Raw genomic sequence first — 22,296 nt, forward strand, 5'->3', positions numbered from 1 at the left:
TTAAATAGAACGTTTCTCATTTAGTGTTTATCTTATGTTTCCTTGTGATTAGATTTGAAATAATGCTGGAACATTGCCGAGACGTATTGTGCAGCACTGCATAGGTGTAGTATTATGTCCTTCTCAGGGTATCACATCTGGAGGCAAAGAATGTCTCTCTGCCCCTCATGGTTAATTTTGATCACTTGCTTAAAGTATTGCCCCATTTCTCCACTGTACAATGACTGCTTTTTATTTTATTCCCCACTCCCTTCCAACTCATGGCAATCTGGAGGGAGATACTTTCAGACCCTGCAAAAGTTCTGCTCCTCATCCAACATTTCCCCCAGCTTTAGAATCCACTGATGATTCTTACCTGATCCAATCTTTGCCACCAAGTCTGAAAATGATTCATTTAAAAGTTTTTAAGTTTTATTTTTCACATATAGGTCTTTGACCTGGAATAGATTTTGTGTATGGTGTGAGATAGGGATTGAATTCTATTTTCCCCCCAGATGGCTAATCAGCTCCATTTGTTGAAGTTTATTCTTTCCCAGTTGGTAAGAAATGTCCACGTCTTCACACATTTGCTGTGTTTGTTTCAGTACTGTATATTCTATTTCATTGGTCCATTTGTTTATCCTTGTGCCAAAACTATGAAGTCTTTATTGCCATAGCTTTATAATATATATTTATATAAATATATAATTGCTGTCACTACATAATGTGGATTTATATAAATATATAATATATAATTGCTATAGCTTTATAGTATATATTTATATAATTGCTGTTTTATATATCATATAATTATATAAATATATAATTGCTATGTTTTATATATTATATATTTATGTAGATATATAATTGCTATGTTTTATATATTATATATTTACATAAATACATAATTGCTATTGCTTTATAATAAATTTGTATATCTTATAGGGCATCTTCCATTATACTCTTCTCTAAAATTGTTAGCTATTCTTGCCATCCGGGCAATTATATTCATTTTCACAACAACCCTCAGATTAAGCAATTGCCCAAGGTCCAAAAATCAGCAAGAGGGACTTGGAACCCAGGTCTGTCGGAGGCCAAAGCTCTTTTCATTACTTCCTGAGGGTGGTTTTCTAGGCATGGAGAAGCAGAGGTCAGGGAATCAAGTGTGGCGAGAGAGAGAAGAGAAGTGAAAGAAGAAAGGCAGGTGTCAGCTTGGTGTGGGTTTGGTCTCTGGGATATAGACTTTGCCAGCCAAAGGATGGAGCTTGAACTTAGCTGGCAGAACTGGAAACAGAAGATTGTAAGGAAAGGGACTGGGATCAGTGTTTCTTCTCCAGGACGGATTACCCACAGCTGTCCACGGGCAGGCACTTGTTACTTTCTGGCTGAGCAGGGCAGTGTGGCCGACGGCTGAAAGGGGAAGCTGCGGCTGCTTTTGTGCAGGGGTGGTGGTGATGAGGGTGATGTGGGGGGCTGGAAGGCATGGAGGGGAAAGGATCTGGCTGACTACCTGGAAGCCAGGACAGATCCCACCCCAGAAAGGCGCAGTAGGGGCTCTCATCCTCCACTAGCCCGCCCCTCCCTACCTAATTAAGGACCCTAATCAGCTTGGGGAGATTAAGGGCTCTGGCCGGCTGTACCCACGCCCCCGCCCTGGCCTGGGCTGGCAAGGAAGACCTGTGGGCGGGCGTCAAAAGGGGGACCGGCCCTGTGACCCCTCACCGGGGGCCGTGGGCCCGAGCCCCCGGACTTCCCTGTAAATGTCAGAGGCCCCTCCGCTGGGATAGGGTCGGTCTGAGGGCGCAGGCGAGTCCCTGCTGACCCCTGACGCCTCCGACGGGGGGAGGGGCAGGCCGGGTGGGAGCGGGAAGCCGGGGCGGCAGAAGGGGGCTTCGGGGCGGTGTCCTTGGCCCCAGTTAGTCTTCCCAGCCTCCGGAGGGGGCGGTAGCAGCAGAATCATCCCATGGGTTACTCGGGCTTGGAGAAACTCGGGGTTACGGGGAGAACCCTAGGGGAGGCCGGGGTCTCAGTCGCTCAGCCTGCTCCGTCTGTGTTCGCAGAAGCCGGCAATGACCGCCTGCGCCCGCCGAGCGGGTGGGCTTCCGGACCCCGGGCTCTGCGGTCCCGCGTGGTGGGCTCCGTCCCTGCCCCGCCTCCCCCGGGCCCTGCCCCGGCTCCCGCTCCTGCTGCTCCTGCTTCTGCTGCAGCCCCCCGCCCTCTCCGCCGTGTTCACGGTGGGGGTCCTGGGCCCCTGGGCTTGCGACCCCATCTTCTCTCGGGCTCGCCCGGACCTGGCCGCCCGCCTGGCCGCCGCCCGCCTGAACCGCGACCCCGGCCTGGCAGGCGGTCCCCGCTTCGAGGTAGCGCTGCTGCCCGAGCCTTGCCGGACGCCGGGCTCGCTGGGGGCCGTGTCCTCCGCGCTGGCCCGCGTGTCGGGCCTCGTGGGTCCGGTGAACCCTGCGGCCTGCCGGCCAGCCGAGCTGCTCGCCGAAGAAGCCGGGATCGCGCTGGTGCCCTGGGGCTGCCCCTGGACGCAGGCGGAGGGCACCACGGCCCCTGCCGTGACCCCCGCCGCGGATGCCCTCTACGCCCTGCTTCGCGCATTCGGCTGGGCGCGCGTGGCCCTGGTCACCGCCCCCCAGGACCTGTGGGTGGAGGCGGGACGCTCACTGTCCACGGCACTCAGGGCCCGGGGCCTGCCTGTCGCCTCCGTGACTTCCATGGAGCCCTTGGACCTGTCTGGAGCCCGGGAGGCCCTGAGGAAGGTTCGGGACGGGCCCAGGGTCACAGGTAGGCTCCCTTGCAGGGTGCGAGGAGGTCGGCTGGTCCTGCCGGCAGCCGGACGGCGCCGCGAGCCAAGCCTCTGTCCGCAGCAGTGATCATGGTGATGCACTCGGTGCTGCTGGGTGGCGAGGAGCAGCGCTACCTCCTGGAGGCCGCAGAGGAGCTGGGCCTGACCGATGGCTCCCTGGTCTTCCTGCCCTTCGACACGATCCACTACGCCTTGTCCCCAGGCCCGGAGGCCTTGGCCGCACTCGCCAACAGCTCCCAGCTTCGCAGGGCCCACGATGCCGTGCTCACCCTCACGCGCCACTGTCCCTCTGAAGGCAGCGTGCTGGACAGCCTGCGCAGGGCTCAAGAGCGCCGCGAGCTGCCCTCTGACCTCAATCTGCAGCAGGTAGACGGTCCCGGGAGGAGGGAAGAAGGCAAGGGAGAGGGGAGAGGACAGCCAAAGCAGGGAGAGGAGGATGCAGCCAATGGAGAAAGAACCACTGGCAGCTCTAGCTGTTTGGAGTTTCCTGGGTAATGTAGAGGCTCTGGCCCCACTTGGGGTCTCTTAGTGTACGAGGATTGCCTCTAGAGAGTAGGCAATTCGACCTCTCAAGTCCAACATCAAGCAGTAAACTCTAATGAACTGTAAACTGCAAAACCTTTTGCAATTGGCTTCAAAGTAAACCCGTTTCCACCACCACATACTCCCAGCTGTCTAAAATAAATACTTGGTGTTCTTGAAAGCAGGAAGGAGGGAGGATGCCAATCCAACCTTCATCCCTAGTTCAGAGGTATTTCCTCTGGGGCCTCATCTGGTGGTCTTAGCTTTTCAAGGGCCTAGACACCTTGCAAGAAGCAGAAAGTTCCCTGGGTGGATTCAGGGGCAATCCTAACCAGATCCATAGTGTATTTCCAACATCCAGCTAATACCTAGGGATCCCCAAGTCCCCAGAATCCCAGTTCAGATCATCTAACTTTACTCCCGCCACAAAGGGGGACTAGAAACCACTATGAGAAGGGAATTTAGATGTCAACGGGCAGTGAATTAACCACCACAAAGGTCCAACTCACAGGCGGCTGCATGAGAGAAGGGTCGTAGGGGTTGCAATTTCCCATCGATGCCCCTAGATTCTTCCAAGAGGATTGGAGGTGTCCAATGGAGGGGGGAGGGGTGCAGTGATGGGAATAGTCAGAAGAGAATACAAGATAGGAATCATAATGAGATGGGATGGAGGGAGGGTCGGTCAGTGGAGAGAGGGAGGTTGAGAAAGTAGAGAGAGAAAAGCCCTTCAGCTCTCAGTAAGTACCACAGCAGTCCTCTCCACTGCCCAAACTGCGCAAGCCTCTGAGCGTGTGAGTCACCCTTGATTCCTTGAATTCTTCGCCCCCACTTCCAGGCATCAAGCCCTGTTACTGTTACTTCCTAAAGATCATTCGAATTCATCCGCTTTCTCCATCTTTACTGTCACTGCCCTGATTCAGGCCACAGCACCCCCAGCCCAAATCCCAAAACATAATCTCTCAGATGGTCTCTGCTTCAACACTCACCTGCCCAACACCTTTCTCCAGATCAAGCTTCAGAAATCTGACAGATCTCACCCTGTCATGCCCCTGTTCAAAGCCTCACAGTGGCTTCTGTTGCCCTGGATAGATGCAGGCCTCTCCACATGGCTTACCAGGTCACCTGTCTTTCTCTCTCTTCCACCTCCCATGAACTTCAGCCAGACCAAGCTACTCTGGGTTCTTGGAATGTGTCCTTCTCTTTTGCCTCTGAGCTTCTGAGTGTGCTGTTTCCTCTCTCTTGTCCCTGCCTCCCCTGGATAATTCTGACTCATCCCCTGAAGGATGGTCACTTCTAACAGCTCCTTCTCTGTCCACAGCCTAGGGTGGGGACACCCATTCCTGTCTCTGCAGCTCCCTCAGTTTCCCCTACTTTTACTCATTGCACTGCCTGAACACCCCTGTCTCTTTGGCAAGAAGAAAGGTTCCTTGAGACGGGGTCTGTCTTGTACACTGATACATCTTTAGTGCTCTGCACAGTGCCTGGCTCTCTGAGAGATGGCAACTGGGAATAATAGAGAAGCCTGATAAGATCGGGTGGTAACAATAGAGAAGGTTTTTTGTTTGTTTTTTGTTTAGTTTTTTTGTTTGTTTGTTTGTTTTTTTAAGGAACAACAGAAAATAGAAGCCAACCAAAAGATAGGTGAGAAGGCTTTTAGGTGAATGGTAGGTGATGAGGTTAAAACTATATGCTGGGCAACCAACAGGAAGAAGAGAGGACCTACAGGTGATGGAGAATTAGAATCAACCAATGGTCAGAGAGGAGGCTGAGTCCTGAAAAGAGGAACCAGTTAGTGGGGAGAGCAGGTGTGACAGCCAATAGGAGAGGGAGGAAGAGAGAGCCAGTGGGGAGGGAGGAAGAGAGAGCCAATGGGGAGGGAGGAAGAGAGCCAATGGGGAGGGAGGAAGAGATAGCCAATGGGGAGGGATCCTGGGAACAACTAACTGGAAGGTGGCAACAGTGGATACCCTGGGCTTGACAGGCAGTGAAAGAATCTGGTCTGTCTGTGGGCTGTGACCCCGACCTCTGAGCCCCTACTCTCCTTCTCCAGGTCTCCCCACTCTTTGGCACCATCTATGACGCGGTCTTCTTGCTGGCAAGGGGCGTGGCAGAAGCGCGGGCTGCCGCAGGTGGCAGATGGGTGTCCGGAGCAGCTGTGGCCCGCCACATCCGGGATGCGCAGGTCCCTGGCTTCTGCGGGGACCTAGGAGGAGACGAGGAGCCCCCATTCGTGCTGCTAGACACGGACGCGGCGGGAGACCGGCTTTTTGCCACATACATGCTGGATCCTGCCCGGGGCTCCTTCCTCTCCGCCGGTACCCGGATGCACTTCCCGCGTGGGGGATCAGCACCCGGACCTGACCCCTCGTGCTGGTTCGATCCAAACAACATCTGCGGTGGAGGTGAGGGCGAGCACCCCAGTCCCCACTGAGACAATCGCCATGGACCATCCACAAAGTGATGAAAGAGAGTGGACTCCTATCCTGTAATCCGTCTTCGATGCCCTTCTAGGCCCTCTCCCAGCCTCTGGCTTGCACAGGACCCCTCTCTTGCTGAGCTCCAAAGCCCTCTTGGAAATTTTCTATCATTCCCAGCCTCTCCCCTTTGAGGAACTATGACCTACCCCTAGAGCCTCTCTGGGCCCCCATCCCCCTTTCCTGGAGGGGCCAGCATGTGGCATGCCTCCCTAGAGAAGAGGCCTCCCCTGGCATCGCTCCTCAGTATACCTCCTGTCACTGTCCCTTCAGGACTGGAGCCGGGCCTCGTCTTTCTTGGCTTCCTCCTGGTGGTTGGGATGGGGCTGGCTGGGGCCTTCCTGGCCCATTATGTGAGGTGAGTAGTGGAATGAGGTAAGTAGGAAGTGAGCTTGTGCCAGAAATGGAAGTCTGCAGCAAAAACAGCAGGCTGGGTTCACTCAGGAGTAGAGGAGGAGATTTTTCTTGGGGTGAGGGTGTTCTGGTGGGCTGGTAGAGTCCCAGGGGATGTGTGCTTTGGGGATGGCTGCCCTCCAGGACCCCTCCCCTGAGCCAACGTTATCCCTCCCCCGCATCCCCTGCTGGTCTCTTCTGACGGAACTTGGTGCCCTTGGTGGAGGTGACCTCTTTCTCCACCAGGCACCGGCTACTTCACATGCAAATGGTCTCCGGCCCCAACAAGATCATCCTGACCGTGGACGACATCACCTTTCTCCACCCACATGGGGGCACCTCTCGAAAGGTGGGGGAGGCAGAGAGGCAGGAGCCAGTTGTCTTCTTTCCGTAAATTTGGTTCCTTCCCTGGGCCAGTCCCGACCCCAGCTCCCTACTTGGGAAGCCTGATTTCTACCCCAGTTCTGTCCCACGTCTGAAGTCTAGGGATCAGCACCCTCATCTGTGCAATGAGGGTAACAGTACCTGTCCTGACTACTTTCCTGGCGGGGAGGTGAAGCTCCAACAAGAAAATGAATGTTTGCTTTGTAAACTGTAAAGCGTGCACTTGGGGAGTAATGTCATTATCACCTTCCCTCATTGAGATTCCTTCGCCTCCCATCTTTAAATCCCCAAAACTCAGCCTGACCTCAACCCAGGACTCTGACACCAGAATATATTTTGACCTCTTGCATTGACCTCTACCTGCTAGGTGGCCCAGGGGAGTCGATCAAGTCTGGGTGCCCGCAGCATGTCAGACATTCGCAGCGGCCCCAGCCAACACTTGGACAGCCCCAACATTGGTGTCTATGAGGTGAGCCTGACCCCAGCCAGACAGAGAGACAGTGGGGGAAGAATGCTCAGGCCCTGGGCAGAGGGGAGGCGCACTCTCAGGAGGACATGTAGTCATGTCAAATCCTGCAGGCTCCAGGAGATGGGGGATGGGAGCCCAGACAGGATCTAGGGAAAGGTCATGGATCCCTCAAAGGGAAGCACCTAGGAATCTTCCCTCCCCAAGGATTTTTCTCTAGCCACTATCTGGGTAAGGGCTCCTCAAAAGCTAACCACAGTGACCCAGAGACTGGAGGCTGGAGCTGCCAGGGAGCATGCTGGGACCAGCAGGTAACATGGTGTGGCCACTGAGACCATCTCCGGCCTGGTCAGAGCCTCTGGCCCTGCCCCTCAGCATTTCCACCCAATTCAGACCAGACTCAGGAATAGCAACCCCTAGAGGGGGAAAAGAAAGTCACAAAAAAGTATTAGGACATTAACTTTGGGGCTGGTAAATCTGAATGCGGTCAAGTGGAGGGGAGATGATGAGAACAGATTGAGAGAGAGCTGAGAGTGCTGAGCAAATCAAGAGAGTAGAAATTTAGAGCTCCTGGGCTTCAGGTCATGGGAAGGAATGCAGAGGCTCCTATCATGTCACCTAGAGATCATCATGGCCAATTCTCAGAGGAGGCACTATTGTCATTTGGGGCAGATTGTCCTAAATTGTATGGGACTACTCTGTGCCTTGAAGAATATTTAGTGTTTCTTGTCTCTGGCCCTGTCCACTAATGCAGCTCCTAGTTTTTGTGACAGTTAAAACTTTCCCCACATTTATTTCCAAATGCTCCTTAGGGGTCAGTACTAAACCCCAATTCCCTTCTAAATTCCCTTCTAGTCCAAATCCCTTATAAACAAGACAGGGCCACCTGCATAATTAGCGAGATCCAGGGCAAGATAGAAATGAGGGGCTCCTCGTTCATTCATGATGATGGCAGGAGGTCATTGAACCAAGCTTGGGCCCTTCGGAGCACGAGGCCCTGTGTGACTGCACAGGTCCCATGCCTGTGAACCGGCCCTGCCAACAGTTGAGGATGAGGTCCAGCATCAGGAGGGGAGCTGTCTATAGTTCAGTTAGTTTTCAATAAAGCCTGATCTACCCAGATTTTTTACTCCCAGAACATGTTCTCTCATGGCAGTGGATGGTAATGAGGGTTGTGATGTCGATGACACTTGTGGTTGTATTAATGCACTTAATAGGACTATTGGTGGGCACAGCTGGGTTGGTGAGGACAGCCATCCATGGCTTCAGAATCTCTGTCATCCAGGGGTGGGCCCTCTCCCAGATGGCTGTGAAGTGGATGGGCATACATCAAACCCCTTGGTTCAATGCATTTTGTCACATGGAAGATGCATTCTGGGACAGTGAGCCAATGGAAATGAGGGGGAGGGGTTCTAGGGCTCCCCATCGTGGGATTTTAAGAGACTGAGTTCCCTACCCCCATCCTCTTTGCTGCAGGGAGACAGGGTTTGGCTGAAGAAATTCCCAGGGGATCAGCACATAGCTATCCGCCCAGCAACCAAGACGGCCTTCTCCAAGGTGAGACTTGGGCCTGTGATGGGGCCTAGGTGGCCATCGGTTTCTCCCTCCTTGCCTTCTCTTTGCAGCTGGGTACAGAGGTAGGTCTCAGTTAAGTGTCCCCTCTGGCTGAGTGTGGTGGCTCATACGTGTAATCCTGGCACTTTGAGAGGCAGATGTGAGGGAGGATCACCTGAGGCCAGGAGTTCAAGACCAGCCTGGGCAACATAAAGAAACCCTATCTCTCCAAAAATTTTAAAATTAGCTGGGTGTGGCGTTACATGCCTGTAGTCCCAGCTACTCTTCAGAGGGTGAGGAGGGAGGATTATTTGAGCCTGGGAGTTGGAGGTTACCGTGGGCTGTGATCATACTACTGCACTCCAGCCTGGGTGACAGAGCAAGACCCTGTCAAAATTAAGAAAGAAAAAAAAAAACATGTTTCCTCCACCCTGGAGTAGGCTTTCATTATTCTCTGCCACACCACTAGTTCTTTCCTTTGATCTTGTTGCAATGTGCAATTGTATGTTCATCTGTCTGCCTGCTTGTTTCTGCCTCTCTCGCTGGACTGTAAGCTGAGTGAGGGCCTCCTCACTCCCCTCCATTGTAATCAAGCACCCAACACAGTGTCTGGAACATTAGAGAGACCCAGTGAATGTTTGTTGATCTAATGATAGAAAATAAAAAATGAGTTTCCGGTTCTGTCAGGCCACTTGTGCAGAATAGCCCTGGACATTCTGAATGAAGTGCAAAGTTGGCAAGGAGGCTGTAAATGGCTTATTCTGGTCCTTACAACCTTAATGTCTCCCTTTATCTCCATGCCATGCAGCCTGGGCCTGGCCTTCTTCCCTGATTCCTCTACAGGAGCTCTTGGTCACAGATGCAGTGACTTAAGTGGACTATGTGTATGGGGATTAATGAACTCGATCACCATTTAATACCAGGTGTTTAAAATGAAAAGTATCTGGGCGCGGTGGCTCACACCTGTGATCCCAGCACTTTGGGAGGCCGAGGCGGGCGGATCACGAGGTCAGGAGATCGAGACCATCCTGGCTAACACGGTGAAACCCCGTCTCTACTAAAAATACAAAAAAAATTAGCCGGGTGTGGTGGCGGGCGCCTGTAGTCCCAGCTACTGTGGGAGGCTGAGGCAGAAGAATGGCGTGAACCCGGGAGGCGGAGCTTGCAGTAAGCCGAGATCGCGGCACTGCACTTCAGCCTGGGCGACAGAGCAAGATTCCGTCTCAAAAAAAAAAAAAAAAAAGGAAAGGAAAGAAAAGTATCCCCTTATTGGGCATGTGGAGGGAAAAGCTAGAAAGGGCACCAGTCAGCCAGCTAAGCCACCTTTTTTTCTAGCATGCCCCGATTGTGAGGGCACTGTCCTGCAGAGCAGTCAGTCCTGTCTTCCCTAACTGAGGGAGGGTGGGAGTCTCAGACCCGACTGACACAATGACGTAACGCCAAGCAGAGCAGCCCCCGGCCAGGTTGCAGGCACACGCCATTTCTGGTGTCCTTTGAAAGTGGCACAGCTTCAGGCCGGGCACCGTGGCTCACGCCTGTAATCCCAGCACTTTGGGAGGCTGAGGTGGATGGACCACCTGAGGTCAGGAGTTCGAGACCAGACTGGCCAACATAGCAAAACCCCATCTCTACTAAAAATACAAAAATTAGCCAGGCATGATGGCACACACCTGTAATCCCAGCTATTCGGGAGGCTGAGACGGGAGAATCGCTTGAGCTCAGGATGCGGAGGTTGCAGTGACCCGAGATTGCACGACTGCAATCCAGCCTGGGTGACAGAGTAAGAATCTGTCTAAAAAAAAAATACATAAACAAAAGAAAAGAAAGAAAGTGGCACCGCTCCTCCCTGGCTCTCCCAGCAAAGGCTGTTAAATCAGGAGAGGATGGTGGTTCCAGGAGCTTCTCCTTCATGAGCTGCTTCCCTTAAGACCCAGGCAGTTCAGAGTTTTATGGCTGGGGCCAGGTGTGGTGGCTCAGGCCTATAATCCCAGCACTTTGGGAGGCTGAGGTGGGAGGATCATTTGAAGCCAGGAGTTCAAGACCAGCCTGGGCAACATAGCAAGGCTCCCATCTCTACAGAAAAAAAATTTTAAATGTTATCTAGGCATGGTGGCACAAGCCTGTAGTCCCAGCTATTCAGGAGGCTGAGGTAGGAGGATCACTTGAACCAAGGAATGAAAGGTAGCAGTGATTTATGATCATGCCGCTGCACTCCAGTCTGGGCAACAGAGTGAGACCTCGTGTCTAAAAAAAAAGGCTTATGATCAATAAATCCGAACCTGCCTGGGTCCTGATCACCAATGCAAAGTTGTCTTTTCATTCACAGCATTAGGCTAAACCATACTCAGTATCCAAACAGTGGCCTTTGACTATATTGTTTTTTCCAAAAATAGGACTATGTGTAGAAGAGAGCCCCCGTACATACCTTATCAACCATTTCATCCACCATTTGTAAAAATCTCATCTTCTGGGTCTGGATACTCAAAAACAGATCTTGATTAACAGCCCCTTCCCCACATTGCCCTGGGCAGAAAATGCAAGTCAACTCTCCCCCTCTCAGCTCCAGGAGCTCCGGCATGAGAACGTGGCCCTCTACCTGGGGCTTTTCCTGGCTCGGGGAGCAGAAGGCCCTGCGGCCCTCTGGGAGGGCAACCTGGCTGTGGTCTCAGAGCACTGCACGCGGGGCTCTCTTCAGGACCTCCTCGCTCAGAGAGAAATAAAGCTGGACTGGATGTTCAAGTCCTCCCTCCTGCTGGACCTTATCAAGGTGTGTGTCTGGGGGTGGTGGGGTGACGTCCTGGGGGCAGGGATGGGGAGCAAGGGAACCAAGCAGGCTGAGGCTGCCTCTTACCCTACCCATTCCAAGGGAATAAGGTATCTGCACCATCGAGGCGTGGCTCATGGGCGGCTGAAGTCACGGAACTGCATAGTGGATGGCAGATTCGTACTCAAGATCACTGACCACGGCCACGGGAGACTGCTGGAAGCACAGAAGGTGCTACCGGAGCCTCCCAGAGCGGAGGGTAAGAGTCCCCTGTGCAGACGAGGATCCACCGGGATCCCCATTATTTCAAGGGCTTCTCCCCCGCTTCCTCCCTACCTCTGCCCTCGCACTCTCTTCATCCCACATCCACCAGACACAATTCCTGCTACAGAAAAGATCTTGTGGCCTCTGAGAGGGTGGGCTCTGTGACTTCGGAGACGGGGCTGCTGGGGGCGGGACTTGTACCTGAGCTGCCTGCAGCAGGGTTTGCTCTGATTACAAGTTTGCCTGAGGGTGGGGCTTGTGCCCAAGAGACGGAGCCTTCCCTGGGCACCACCTTTTCTGAAGGGCAAGGCCTATTTGCCAGGCTTTCTCTGAGATGGCTCCTAGAGATAGTTGCAGGGCTGGTCTCAGGTTGCAGGGTCTCAGACCGGTCTCAGGCTGCAGGGTTGGTGGTGTCTGGGTGCCAACCTGGGCTTTCTGGTGAGGGTGGGAGTCTTTCCCCAGCGGCGCCTCAGCCCCTTCCCCATCCCCAGACCAGCTGTGGACAGCCCCGGAGCTGCTTAGGGACCCAGCCCTGGAGCGCCGGGGAACGCTGGCCGGCGACGTCTTTAGCTTGGCCATCATCATGCAAGAAGTAGTGTGCCGCAGTGCCCCTTATGCCATGCTGGAGCTCACTCCCGAGGGTAAGGCTGCCCTGTGCGTGGAGTTCGGCCCACAGGGGCACCCTGCAGTTAGAAAAGAGCCAGCCTCACTCTTTCCTCTAAAGCAAAGCCCAGTGATGAAACTCAATTATACGGAGGCCCCCTTAAAGCTGGCATCTGCAGGTCTGGGTGCAGAAAGCCGTGCATGGCCAGGGTGGGGAGCGTGGTTCATTAGGTCCCAGACCACAACAGCTTCCTCTTTCTTGATGCTGGAACCAAACTGTTTCCACAACTGACAGAACAGACTCCTCTCTGTTCTCAGGGGTCCCTGGGAGGAGCAGGGGAGGGGGAGTGGGTGCATCCCTTCTGCACAGGACTCTGAGCAAACTACTTGATCACCTATCCCTCACTTGTCTTACATACAATATGTTAGTTTCTTTGCCTATGTCACCTCTTACTGACCCCCAGAGTTCGAGGTCCTCTTGTTCCTCCTAGCAACCCCCTTCCACACTATACTCTCCCTCCACACACACACACTGAACCTCTGATGTAAAGAAACCCCTGCCAGGCACCCCCTCCCACATCTTGGTCTTCAACAGTCAGGCCAGGGTCAGAGGCAGCCTTTGTGTTCTGGGGGCACTCCCCCTCACTGTCCCCTCATGCCTCCAGAAGTGGTGCAGAGGGTGCGGAGCCCCCCTCCACTGTGTCGGCCCTTGGTGTCCATGGACCAGGCACCTGTCGAGTGTATCCTCCTGATGAAGCAGTGCTGGGCAGAGCAGCCGGAACTTCGGCCCTCCATGGACCACACCTTCGACCTGGTCAGGGGCTGGGAGTGGGCAAGGACTGGGCTGGCCTCTGGGATCCCAGATGCTTGTCAGCAACCTGAGACAGCTGCAGACAGGCAGGCTGGCAGGACCTCTGGCCTTCCAGGCTACCTCCTAAGGAGTAGCCTGAAGACTCGGAGTTTGGGGGCAGAATTGGAATGGGGGCTGTGGAGGCTTTTGGAGTGGGAGATAGAGTTCTGTCTGGGTGGGAGGAATATTCAATTCAATTCAAATAACACTGATTGAGAACCAAGTATGTGCTTGGCCTGCTGTGACAGAAAGACCCTTGGCCTGGGAGCCCAACGATTGGGCTGGCTCCAGTGCCCTGTCAATTACTAGCTGAGATCAACTGACCTCTGGGAACCCTCATTTCCCACGTGCCTCCTAATCGTGTCTGAAAACACAGTGCCCAGCACCCCGGGGTGCTTGATGAATAGTAGATGAATGGTGGCAGCGGGGTTGGGGTTCAGAGTGAACAGCCCCATGAGAGGGCCCATGAGGGGGGCATAAAGAGGGCATGGCAACCCAGGTCTTCAGCAGCTTTACCAGCTTCCTTCTACTGCTAGTTCAAGAACATCAACAAGGGCCGGAAGACGAACATCATTGACTCGATGCTTCGGATGCTGGAGCAGTACTCTAGTAACCTGGAGGATCTGATCCGGGAGCGCACGGAGGAGCTGGAGCTGGAAAAGCAGAAGACAGACCGGCTGCTTACACAGATGCTGCCTCCGTGGGTGCCAGTGGGAAGGGGTGGGCTGGGAGGGCAGCTGGAGCCCAGCCAGGTAGAGTGGCCCCCAGGTGACCTCACTGCCTGCCATCCCTAGGTCTGTGGCTGAGGCCTTGAAGACGGGGACACCAGTGGAGCCCGAGTACTTTGAGCAAGTGACACTGTACTTTAGTGACATTGTGGGCTTCACCACCATCTCTGCCATGAGTGAGCCCATTGAGGTTGTGGACCTGCTCAACGATCTCTACACACTCTTTGATGCCATCATTGGTTCCCACGATGTCTACAAGGTGCAGTGTGTAGGGGACAAGCCCTCCTGACCTTCAATTCAGCTTCACCAGCCTCCAGCCCAGCCCTTCCTGCGCAGCCCCTAGCCTACCTGCCCAATCAATCTTCTTTCCCAGACCTCCTGTCCCTTATTTATTCCTCCAGTCCCCAGCTCAGTCCTTCCACTAGCAACCTGGTTCTGCACTAACCCCAGGTGGGCCCGGTGACAAGAGGCAATCGCTTCGTGTACTCGGGGGGAATGCTCAAAAGAAAATTCACACAACTCCTTCTTCCCCCAGGTGGAGACAATAGGGGACGCCTATATGGTGGCCTCGGGGCTGCCCCAGCGGAATGGGCAGCGACACGCGGCAGAGATCGCCAACATGTCACTGGACATCCTCAGTGCCGTGGGCACTTTCCGCATGCGCCATATGCCTGAGGTTCCCGTGCGCATCCGCATAGGCCTGCACTCGGGTAACTCCCGGGTCTTCCCAGGCTCCAGCCCATCTCCCTCTTTAGGGCCTGGCCCCAGATTTCCTGTAGAGGAGGCAACTCATGGAGCGGGGAGTGGGGCTTACCTTGAAGAGGATGCACTTAACAAGGCTTATTTGGGGGGCTGGTGGAGATAATGGGTGCGAAGATCCCCCGAGGCCCTACCTAGGTGCAGCCCAGGGCCGGCCCTGCTAGCCCCGCCGACCCCCAGCATCTCCACAGGTCCATGCGTGGCAGGCGTGGTGGGCCTCACCATGCCGCGGTACTGCCTGTTTGGGGACACGGTCAACACCGCCTCGCGCATGGAGTCCACCGGGCTGCGTGAGTGTGACGGGGACAAGACGGGGAGGTGGGAGGGGGACACGGGAGGTGAGTCCCGAGCTCACGGCGTCCCCCACCGCCACAGCTTACCGCATCCACGTGAACTTGAGCACTGTGGGGATTCTCCGTGCTCTGGACTCGGGCTACCAGGTGGAGCTGCGAGGCCGCACGGAGCTGAAGGTGAGGCAGGGCCCCAACCCCTCCCGGAGGCCCCGCCCTGTCCTGAGGCACCGCCCATCCCGGGCCGCGGCTGCAAACCTCAGCTCACCCTTCTGACCTGGTCTCCCAGTTCCACGCAGACTCGAGATCCCCCACCCCTCACCCCAGTCCGCCTAAGTCCTTCCCTCTCCCATGTCTCCCCAGGGCAAGGGCGCCGAGGACACTTTCTGGCTAGTGGGCAGACGCGGCTTCAACAAGCCCATCCCCAAACCGCCTGACCTGCAACCGGGGTGAGGGGCCGGCCTCCGCGGCAGGGCGAGGGACGAGGGACCCCTGCCTCCTGCTCTGTGTCTGACCCCCCGCGCGCGAGGCAGCGATGACGTGGGCCCTGCCCTCCCACGCCCCATTCCCCTTCCCTGAGGCCACCGCCCCCTCCTTGCAGGTCCAGCAACCACGGCATCAGCCTGCAGGAGATCCCACCCGAGCGGCGACGGAAGCTGGAGAAGGCGCGGCCGGGCCAGTTCTCTTGAGAAGTGAGGCCCGGCCCCGGACAGGTACTGCCCCCTCAGCCCCAACCCCAGCTGCCGCGTCCCCTCTGCTGCCTGCAGAACGTCCCACCCAAGCCAGGTGTCCCGATCCCTTTCTGACTTAGAGAGCCCAGGCTGGTTCCTAAACCCCGGGGCTTCCCCTGGGAGGGAAGCAGCCATTGCAGGAATTTTGGTTCAGTAGATCTGGAGTGGTTTGGAAATCCAGGCTTAGGAAACTCCGTAATCGGGGCCTTCTGTGGCCCCTCCCCTGGCCCTATCTCATCCCCAGTGCATAAACCTGGCTTCCGCAGAAGCCTCACAGGCTGTGCACTGCACAAGAGACAACTCTAGGGGGCAGCAGTCACCAGAGAACAATGTGAAAGCAGAAGCCGTGCCCACTCCCCTCCTGCAAGAAACTGACCCGTGACCCGCTCCTTCCTAGGTGAACCCCCATGACCCCTTTCCTCGACTCCCCTCTGAGATACCCCTCTTTTCTTCAGGATTGTTCTGGAAGGTCCTTTTCCTGAAAGTTGCTGCTATAGGTGACTGGAAGTCTGTCTAATGCTGGTGGACTCTGCCCAGCTCTGCCTCAAAGGATTTTGGGCCTTTTACAAGAGCTGGTTGCAAAACCAGCCATGTGACCTTGGGAAAGTGTCACGCATGCTCTGCTGTGATCCCTTCAGTGGCAAAATGGGGGGTGGCCTAAGTGGTTCCCAAGGCCCCTGTGCACCTGACAGCTGGGTGGCTTGTGGCCCTCACCCCCAGGAGCCCTGAGTCCAGCAGGGGATGTGAGGGTCAGGGATTCTCCGCTTCCCAGTGTCTCTCAGGGACCCAGGAAGGAGGATCTGGGATTGATGCCCGACCCCAGAGGAAGTGGAGTTCTGTTCCACCAGAGCAGGGTTTGTCACATGGCCTGAGGGGGCAAGGGCTCCTGTTTAGCCTCAAGCTTCATTCCTATCTCCATCTCCCACCAGTCAGAAACTGGCTGCTTCTCCTGTGGGTATAATCAGGGAACTTGCCCAAGTGCAGAGAAAAGCTTGCTTCAATGCTTTGAGGAAAGGAAATTGTGCCACACCTTGACTGACCAGAACATCCAAAGAGCGGCATTCTCTGTTTAACTAGGAGCTGCTGAGCAAGCAGTTGGACAGAAAATCCTCTCTGCTTAGAATTTTTTCTTTTTTTTTGAGTCTCACTTTGTCACCCAGGCTGGAGTGCAGTGCAGTGACACAATCTCGACTCATTGCAACCTCCTCCTCTCAGGTTCAAGTGATTCTCCTACCTCAGCCTGCCGAGTAGCTGGGATTACAGGCACCCGCCACCACGCCCGGGTAATTTTTTTGTGTGATTTTAGTAGAGATGGGGTTTCAGCATGTTGCCCAGGGTGGTCTTGAACTGACATCAAGTGATCTGCCCACCTTGGCCTCCCAAAGTGCTGGGATTACAGGTGTGAGACACCGCGCCTGACCTTTGCAGCAATTATCAATGCCCTGTCCTGGCAAGTCCCCAGTTGAAGTTGCCTTTGTGAAACTCTGACCTTCCAGAGCCTGGGCCTTGGCACATTTGACTCTTGGTGTCTGTCACCATTGCTACAGACCCTGGAAGAAGTTTGCAGCAGGCTAGGAAACCACCTAGGCTGCCACCAGAGGTAGTGAGTGTCCAGTCCCTGGAGGTGTGAAGGCAGAACTGGAGACATCATTGACCAGGGATACGACAGTGAGAGGGAATTCCGGAACTGAACCTTCACTACACCAAGTGTGGTTGGTGGGCCAGGGTCGGCACTGCCTGTGAGCTCATTAGAAATGAAGGATCTCAGGGCCCCACCCCAGACCTGCTGAGTCTGGATCTGCATTTTAACAAGTTCCTACAAAATATTGACACGCTCATTAAAGTTTCTGAATCATAGAACTAAATCACCCTAAGATCTTTAAATCTTAGAATCTCTAAGATCTCATAAAGCCAGGCTACAAACTAGCCACCAAATTTCTTTTGTTTGGCCTATAGAGTGTTTTGTTTTGAGCTAACATTTAAAAATCAACAGCTTCCACATTTTAAAAATGTATAGCAGATTTCCCCCTTCTCTTGAAATCAGAAGCCCCACATGGTGCTTGTGTCACCACTTAACCACATTCTGCTGCAGCTAAACAGCAACAGTCCCCTTTATCCAGATGTCGCCACTCCCCACAGACTCCGAGACACCAAGATTTTTTGAACATTCCTTTATATTCCTGCCTGGTGCCTGTAGACATTGAGCTTAGGACTCCTTAGCAGGTATTAGGATTACAGGGGCTCCTGGACGGGACTTTGCCTTCTTTTTTTTTTTTTTAAACTGATTCATGACTTCCACAAGCTTAGTGGTATTCCCCTCCTTCCTAAAGGTGAAGGAAGAATGTATCAAACATCGAGAATCCAGCACTTGTAAGTTCTGGTTACCGAAGGTGATGTTGCTACAGAGAGCAATTTAGTGCAATTTTAAAAACATTTTAAATTGAATTTAAATACGATGAATTAAAGATTAAAAACAAAACAAAACCCGGGCATGCACACACACACATTTTTAAAAGTTATTTACATTCTTGAAGATTTTCCTTAAGATTTTCTCTGTACTTAGGTCCCAGGGATTGAAGCGCAGATTCACATCTCTGGCCTTGGACCTGACTGTGTGGATAGAGCTCTCAGCCTCCTGTCTCTTCCCTCCCGTACCCGACCCTGCAGCCCTTCCCCTTCCTTCCCTCTCTCCCTGCCTGCAAGGGCCTGGAGTAGTTAATGGTGTGTGATTTCGGCTGCCTCAAGGAAGAGTCCAGGATTAGGTGCAGAGGGATTAGCTGGGACAGGCTTAGGCAGGGCTCCTCCCGGAAGCAGAGGCGGATGAGCCAGAGGGCAGACCCAGTTTAAGGTAGAAGTGGAGTGGGCAGGGCTGAGCCAGTTCCTTCCCACCTTCACTCAGCCTCCTTCCCAGGCTGGCCTCAAGCTCAAGTGACCAGATGTGATAGAAGAGCCCTGACCCCTCCCCAGCTAGAAGAACTTGGGGAACCCCCACCCCAGAGTTCACAGATCTAGTGGGAGAAGAGAAGGCAAAAGATGAAGCCTCAGCCTCCTCTCTGTGCCTCAGCCTCTCCTTTCTCTGTTCCTGCCTCCCTTTCTGCTCTATTCTCCTGTCTTTGTGTCCCCACAGTCCCCTTTCTGCCTGGCAGTCTCTGTCTGCCTTTCTCTGCAGTTTCCACCATTTCTCTGGAAATCTTATTTCCTGGACCCAGTCGGTTATCCAGTCTCAGGGCTCTGCTGACTCAAGTCCTCCCCACCCTGTTCCTGTGGCCTGGGCAACTCCCAGCGCATGAGAGCACCGGGGCCTGGCTTGGTCACTGGGCATCCCCCACCTTCAGATGTGTTTACACTACCTCTGCCAGCTGGCCTGCGCCAGGAGCCCACACTTGCGGTTGTCCTTGCCTTGGAGATGGCTCTGTAGCTGGCAGAGCAGTGATGGCCAAAGCAGGGACCTCTCATAGCTGCTGCTTCAATCCCACGGCAGAGACTCTACAGCGTGTCCCGGGGCTCACCTGGCGCCTTTTTTTTTTTTTTTTTTTTTTTTGTGCTTCTCCTTAGGGTCTGGGCCCTGCTCCCTGTCCCATCTGCAGTGGACCCCAGGCACCCCCCTTTGAGGAGGTGGGGTGAACTGCTCCTTGGCAGGGATTTGTGACACTGCATTGCTGGGCTGTGTTCCTCGGGCTCTTCTGGACCTTGCACCGTGGATACCAGGCCATGTGCCATGGTATTTGGGTCCTGGGAGGGTGGGTGAAATAAAGGCATGCTGTCTTCCATGTTGTGGTGTGTGCTGCTTTTAGCCAGGAGAGTAGTCTCGACACCCCCATCTCTGGAACGCTCAGCCCTGCCATTTCCAGGGAGGGTTTCAGATAGGGTTGAACCTTAGAGATGGCCTGAAGAGGGGAAGTGGCCGGGGCCAACAGCTCCCAGGAACTCCTCTGCTCAGAGAACCAGTTGGGGAAGTCTCGGGCCTCTCAGGCTGCTGGAAAAGACCAGGGTCTCTGACGCTTTTAAGGTGGGTGATGTGGCTTCATCCCTTGATTGTATGCAGGAGGGAAGAAGGAAGAGAAGGACAGAGCTTGTCTATGCCATGACTCCATGACCCATGGACCATAACCTACAAACATGGGAGCCAGAGTCCAAGACTGAAGGAACAGGGCCCCCAGATGGGAAAGGTGAGGTCCACTGGTCTCTGGGCAGGACCTCATCAACAACCCACACTCCACCTCTGACCCTTCACAAACCTGCCCCTGGAGCTTCAGAGCAGGAGAGACTATCCCAAAATCACCAGTGGGTGACTGGCCCCTAAGTCTTCCGGGAGCCCAGCTGTTCCCGTGCCAGGCCCAATGTCCCAGACAGGATGACCTGTAATGGACATCGACTGTGCTGCCTTCCTACATCCATCCTGCTGGGCAGTGGGCAGCCATCTGTGCCCCATTCTTAATCCCAGTGGAAGTGGCTAGAACTGACTGCTGACTTCCCCCTTCAGGCCAGCCCAATCATTCCGTTCCTCTGGCCTCAAAGACAGATGAGCTGGGCCAGGCTGATGAAGCTCGGTGCTGGGACGTTGTTTGAAGCCATGGGGAGAAATTGTCTTCTTGGGGGGTTGCTGAGAGGATGGGACATTGAGAGATCCTTGCCACCACAAAGACAGAGCTGAACTGGCAGATGGAGAGAGACAAAGTCCTGATGGCTACTGTCTGAGCTGGGATACCTCACTGGGCCTAAAGCCAAGTCCGGCTGTTTAAGCAACATGGGCCAGCAAATTATTTTCTTTGCTTAAGCCAGGTTGCGTTGGGTTCTTTCTTTTCTTTCTTTCTTCCTTTCTTTCCTTTCTCTTTTCTTTCTCTTCTTTCTTTTTCTCTCTCTCTCTCTCTCTCTCTCTCTTCTTCTTTCATACCTCAAAACCCTCACGATGGCTGGGCACAGTGGCTCATGCCTGTAATCCCAGCACTTGGGGTGGCTGAGGTAAGAGAATCACTAGAGCCTAGGAGTTCTAGACCAGCCTGGGCAACATAGCAAAATCTTGTCTCTACAAAACACAAAAATTAGCCAAGCATGGTGGTGCACACCTGCAGTCCCAGCTACTCCGGAGGCTGAGGCAGGATGATCACTTGAGCCCGGAAGGTCAAGGTTGCAGTGAGCTGAGATCACACCACTGCATTCCAGAGCGAGACTGTCACAAACAAACAAAAACCTTCGTGATGTTTTCACGGTGATGAAATGTTGGTCCATTTGATTACGATGTGCTGATGGCTGCAAGTTCAACAGGTGGCTTTCCCATCTACTCCACCTCCTCACCCAAACCACTATGCCAAGCAGACACCTATCCATAGCCACGCACTTTATGGCCTCGCCTCAACATCATTCCCTTTGTCTCTGGCCAGCATGTCATCTCCTAGGCCTCTCTCTCAGCCTTGATCACCCACTCCCAAGCTGCATGCCTCCATCGGCATATTCCTATTGCAACTATCAACCAGGGGCCGCTGAGGCCACAGGGGTTCTCCTGCATGGACTGGCTGGTCCTCAACCACAGTCCCTGGGGTCACCTCTCCCAGGGCTTAGCCTTTATCCAAGGATAAAGGGATGGGCACCCAGAGCTCCTGCCACACTCTCTTCCAGGGCAGAGGCGAGGGCAGGGTAGGTCGCGGCCCCAGTGGAAACAAGGCCTGAGGGACTGCATACCCAGCTTTGAAGGTCTGCCCTGGAAGGCCCCAGACTGCTTCAGGCTCTGAAAAGGCAATGAGGAGGGTCCAGTGCTGAGCTCTTATCCTCAATGATGCCAAGGGGTGGAAGCCTTTCTGGCGCTTGGAGAAGAGGCCCAGCCATGGGGTGGCTGAAATAGATGATCTCAGATTATCTCAAGACCAGAGCTGATCCCAGAAACTGGTCCTTCCCTGAGTAAATGCTTCCCAGAGAAGGCCAGAGGACATGCCCTGTGATGATGCAGCTGTACAAGATGCTCCACTGGGAGCCAGAAGGGAAGCAGAGCTGGAGGTCCTGTGCTCCTCTTTTGAAGAAGGGAGAGGTTTAAGATCATCAGCATGCTGAAGGGGGGAAGCCAGTACTGTGAGGGAGACATGGGATGGGGTGACGGGGGAATGAGGCTCCTGTGTCCAGTGGGGATAGATCCAAGCACTGCGGAGTGATTGCCTTGGATGGGAAGAAGGGAAGCCTTTGAAAGAGGATTAGAATAGGACAGCTTGGGCCTGGGAGGAGCTGCACATTCCAGGACTTTCCATCAAGAGTTTCTGTTTTTTCAAGAAAGTGGAAGGTGAGGTCATCTTCTGAGTGTGTGGGGGAGGGAGGAGTACTATTTTCCTTGCTAAGTGCTAGAAACTGGGCTAAGCACTTTACCTGATAAACCTCATTTGATACCTTGAGAATCTCACGAGGCATGTGCAGTTGGTCATTGGTATCCACAGGACCTACATCCTCAGATATTTTTTAAGGGGGAGGGGGAACGGAGTCTCACTCTATCACCCAGGCTGCAGTGCAGTGGCATGATCTCAGCTCACTGCAACCTCCGCCTTCCAGGCTCAAGCGATTCTCCTGCCTCAGCCTCCTGAGTAGCTGGGATTACAGGCGTGCGCCATGATGCTCAGCTATACATCCTCAGATTTAACCAACAGCAGATAGACAATATCTAAAAAACAAAACAAAAAATAACAATACAACAATAAAAATAATACAAATAAAAACAATACAGTATAACAACTATTTGCATAG

The 22,296-nt window shown here is 54.0% G+C and overlaps 1 protein-coding gene across 2 annotated transcripts, besides 1 other annotated feature; it reads left to right on the plus strand.

Annotated features, from left to right (window-relative positions):
* Positions 1,616–19,343, plus strand: GUCY2D (guanylate cyclase 2D, retinal). Of its 2 annotated transcripts, NM_000180.4 has the most exons (20): positions 1,616–1,735; positions 2,040–2,769; positions 2,853–3,157; positions 5,364–5,715; positions 6,061–6,145; positions 6,427–6,529; positions 6,932–7,033; positions 8,507–8,587; positions 11,145–11,351; positions 11,451–11,607; positions 12,104–12,253; positions 12,881–13,029; positions 13,602–13,765; positions 13,860–14,052; positions 14,329–14,503; positions 14,744–14,842; positions 14,928–15,022; positions 15,206–15,291; positions 15,444–15,555; positions 19,129–19,343. In NM_000180.4, the coding sequence occupies exons 2-19, from the start codon at positions 2,049–2,051 to the stop codon at positions 15,529–15,531; spliced, it is 3,312 nt and encodes a 1,103-aa protein (NP_000171.1). In that variant the 5' UTR covers positions 1,616–1,735; positions 2,040–2,048; the 3' UTR covers positions 15,532–15,555; positions 19,129–19,343. The 2 variants fall into 2 exon arrangements, with proteins under 2 accessions (NP_000171.1, XP_011522118.1); XM_011523816.2 differs by lacking the exon at positions 1,616–1,735 and having other exon boundaries at positions 16,029–19,343.
* Positions 15,736–15,916: a silencer, noted in NCBI's record as "fragment chr17:7920053-7920233 (GRCh37/hg19 assembly coordinates)". NCBI's record gives its function as "represses an EF-1alpha promoter that drives an FKBP-Casp9 reporter gene in an ReSE screen in K562 erythroleukemia cells {active_cell/tissue: K562}" and the evidence as "EXISTENCE:reporter gene assay evidence [ECO:0000049][PMID:32094911]".

Source organism: Homo sapiens, chromosome 17 (genome assembly GCF_000001405.40).
Source record: "Homo sapiens chromosome 17, GRCh38.p14 Primary Assembly".
Lineage (NCBI taxonomy): Eukaryota > Metazoa > Chordata > Mammalia > Primates > Hominidae > Homo > Homo sapiens.

Bases quoted from the DNA above. Each gene is read 5' to 3' on its own strand.
- GUCY2D (NM_000180.4), top strand. From the start codon at position 2,049: ATGACCGCCTGCGCCCGCCGAGCGGGTGGGCTTCCGGACCCCGGGCTC. The intron at 5,716-6,060 runs GTGAGGGCGAGC...CTGTCCCTTCAG, and splicing joins AAACAACATCTGCGGTGGAG to GACTGGAGCCGGGCCTCGTC. The intron at 14,504-14,743 runs GTAACTCCCGGG...GCATCTCCACAG, and splicing joins CCGCATAGGCCTGCACTCGG to GTCCATGCGTGGCAGGCGTG.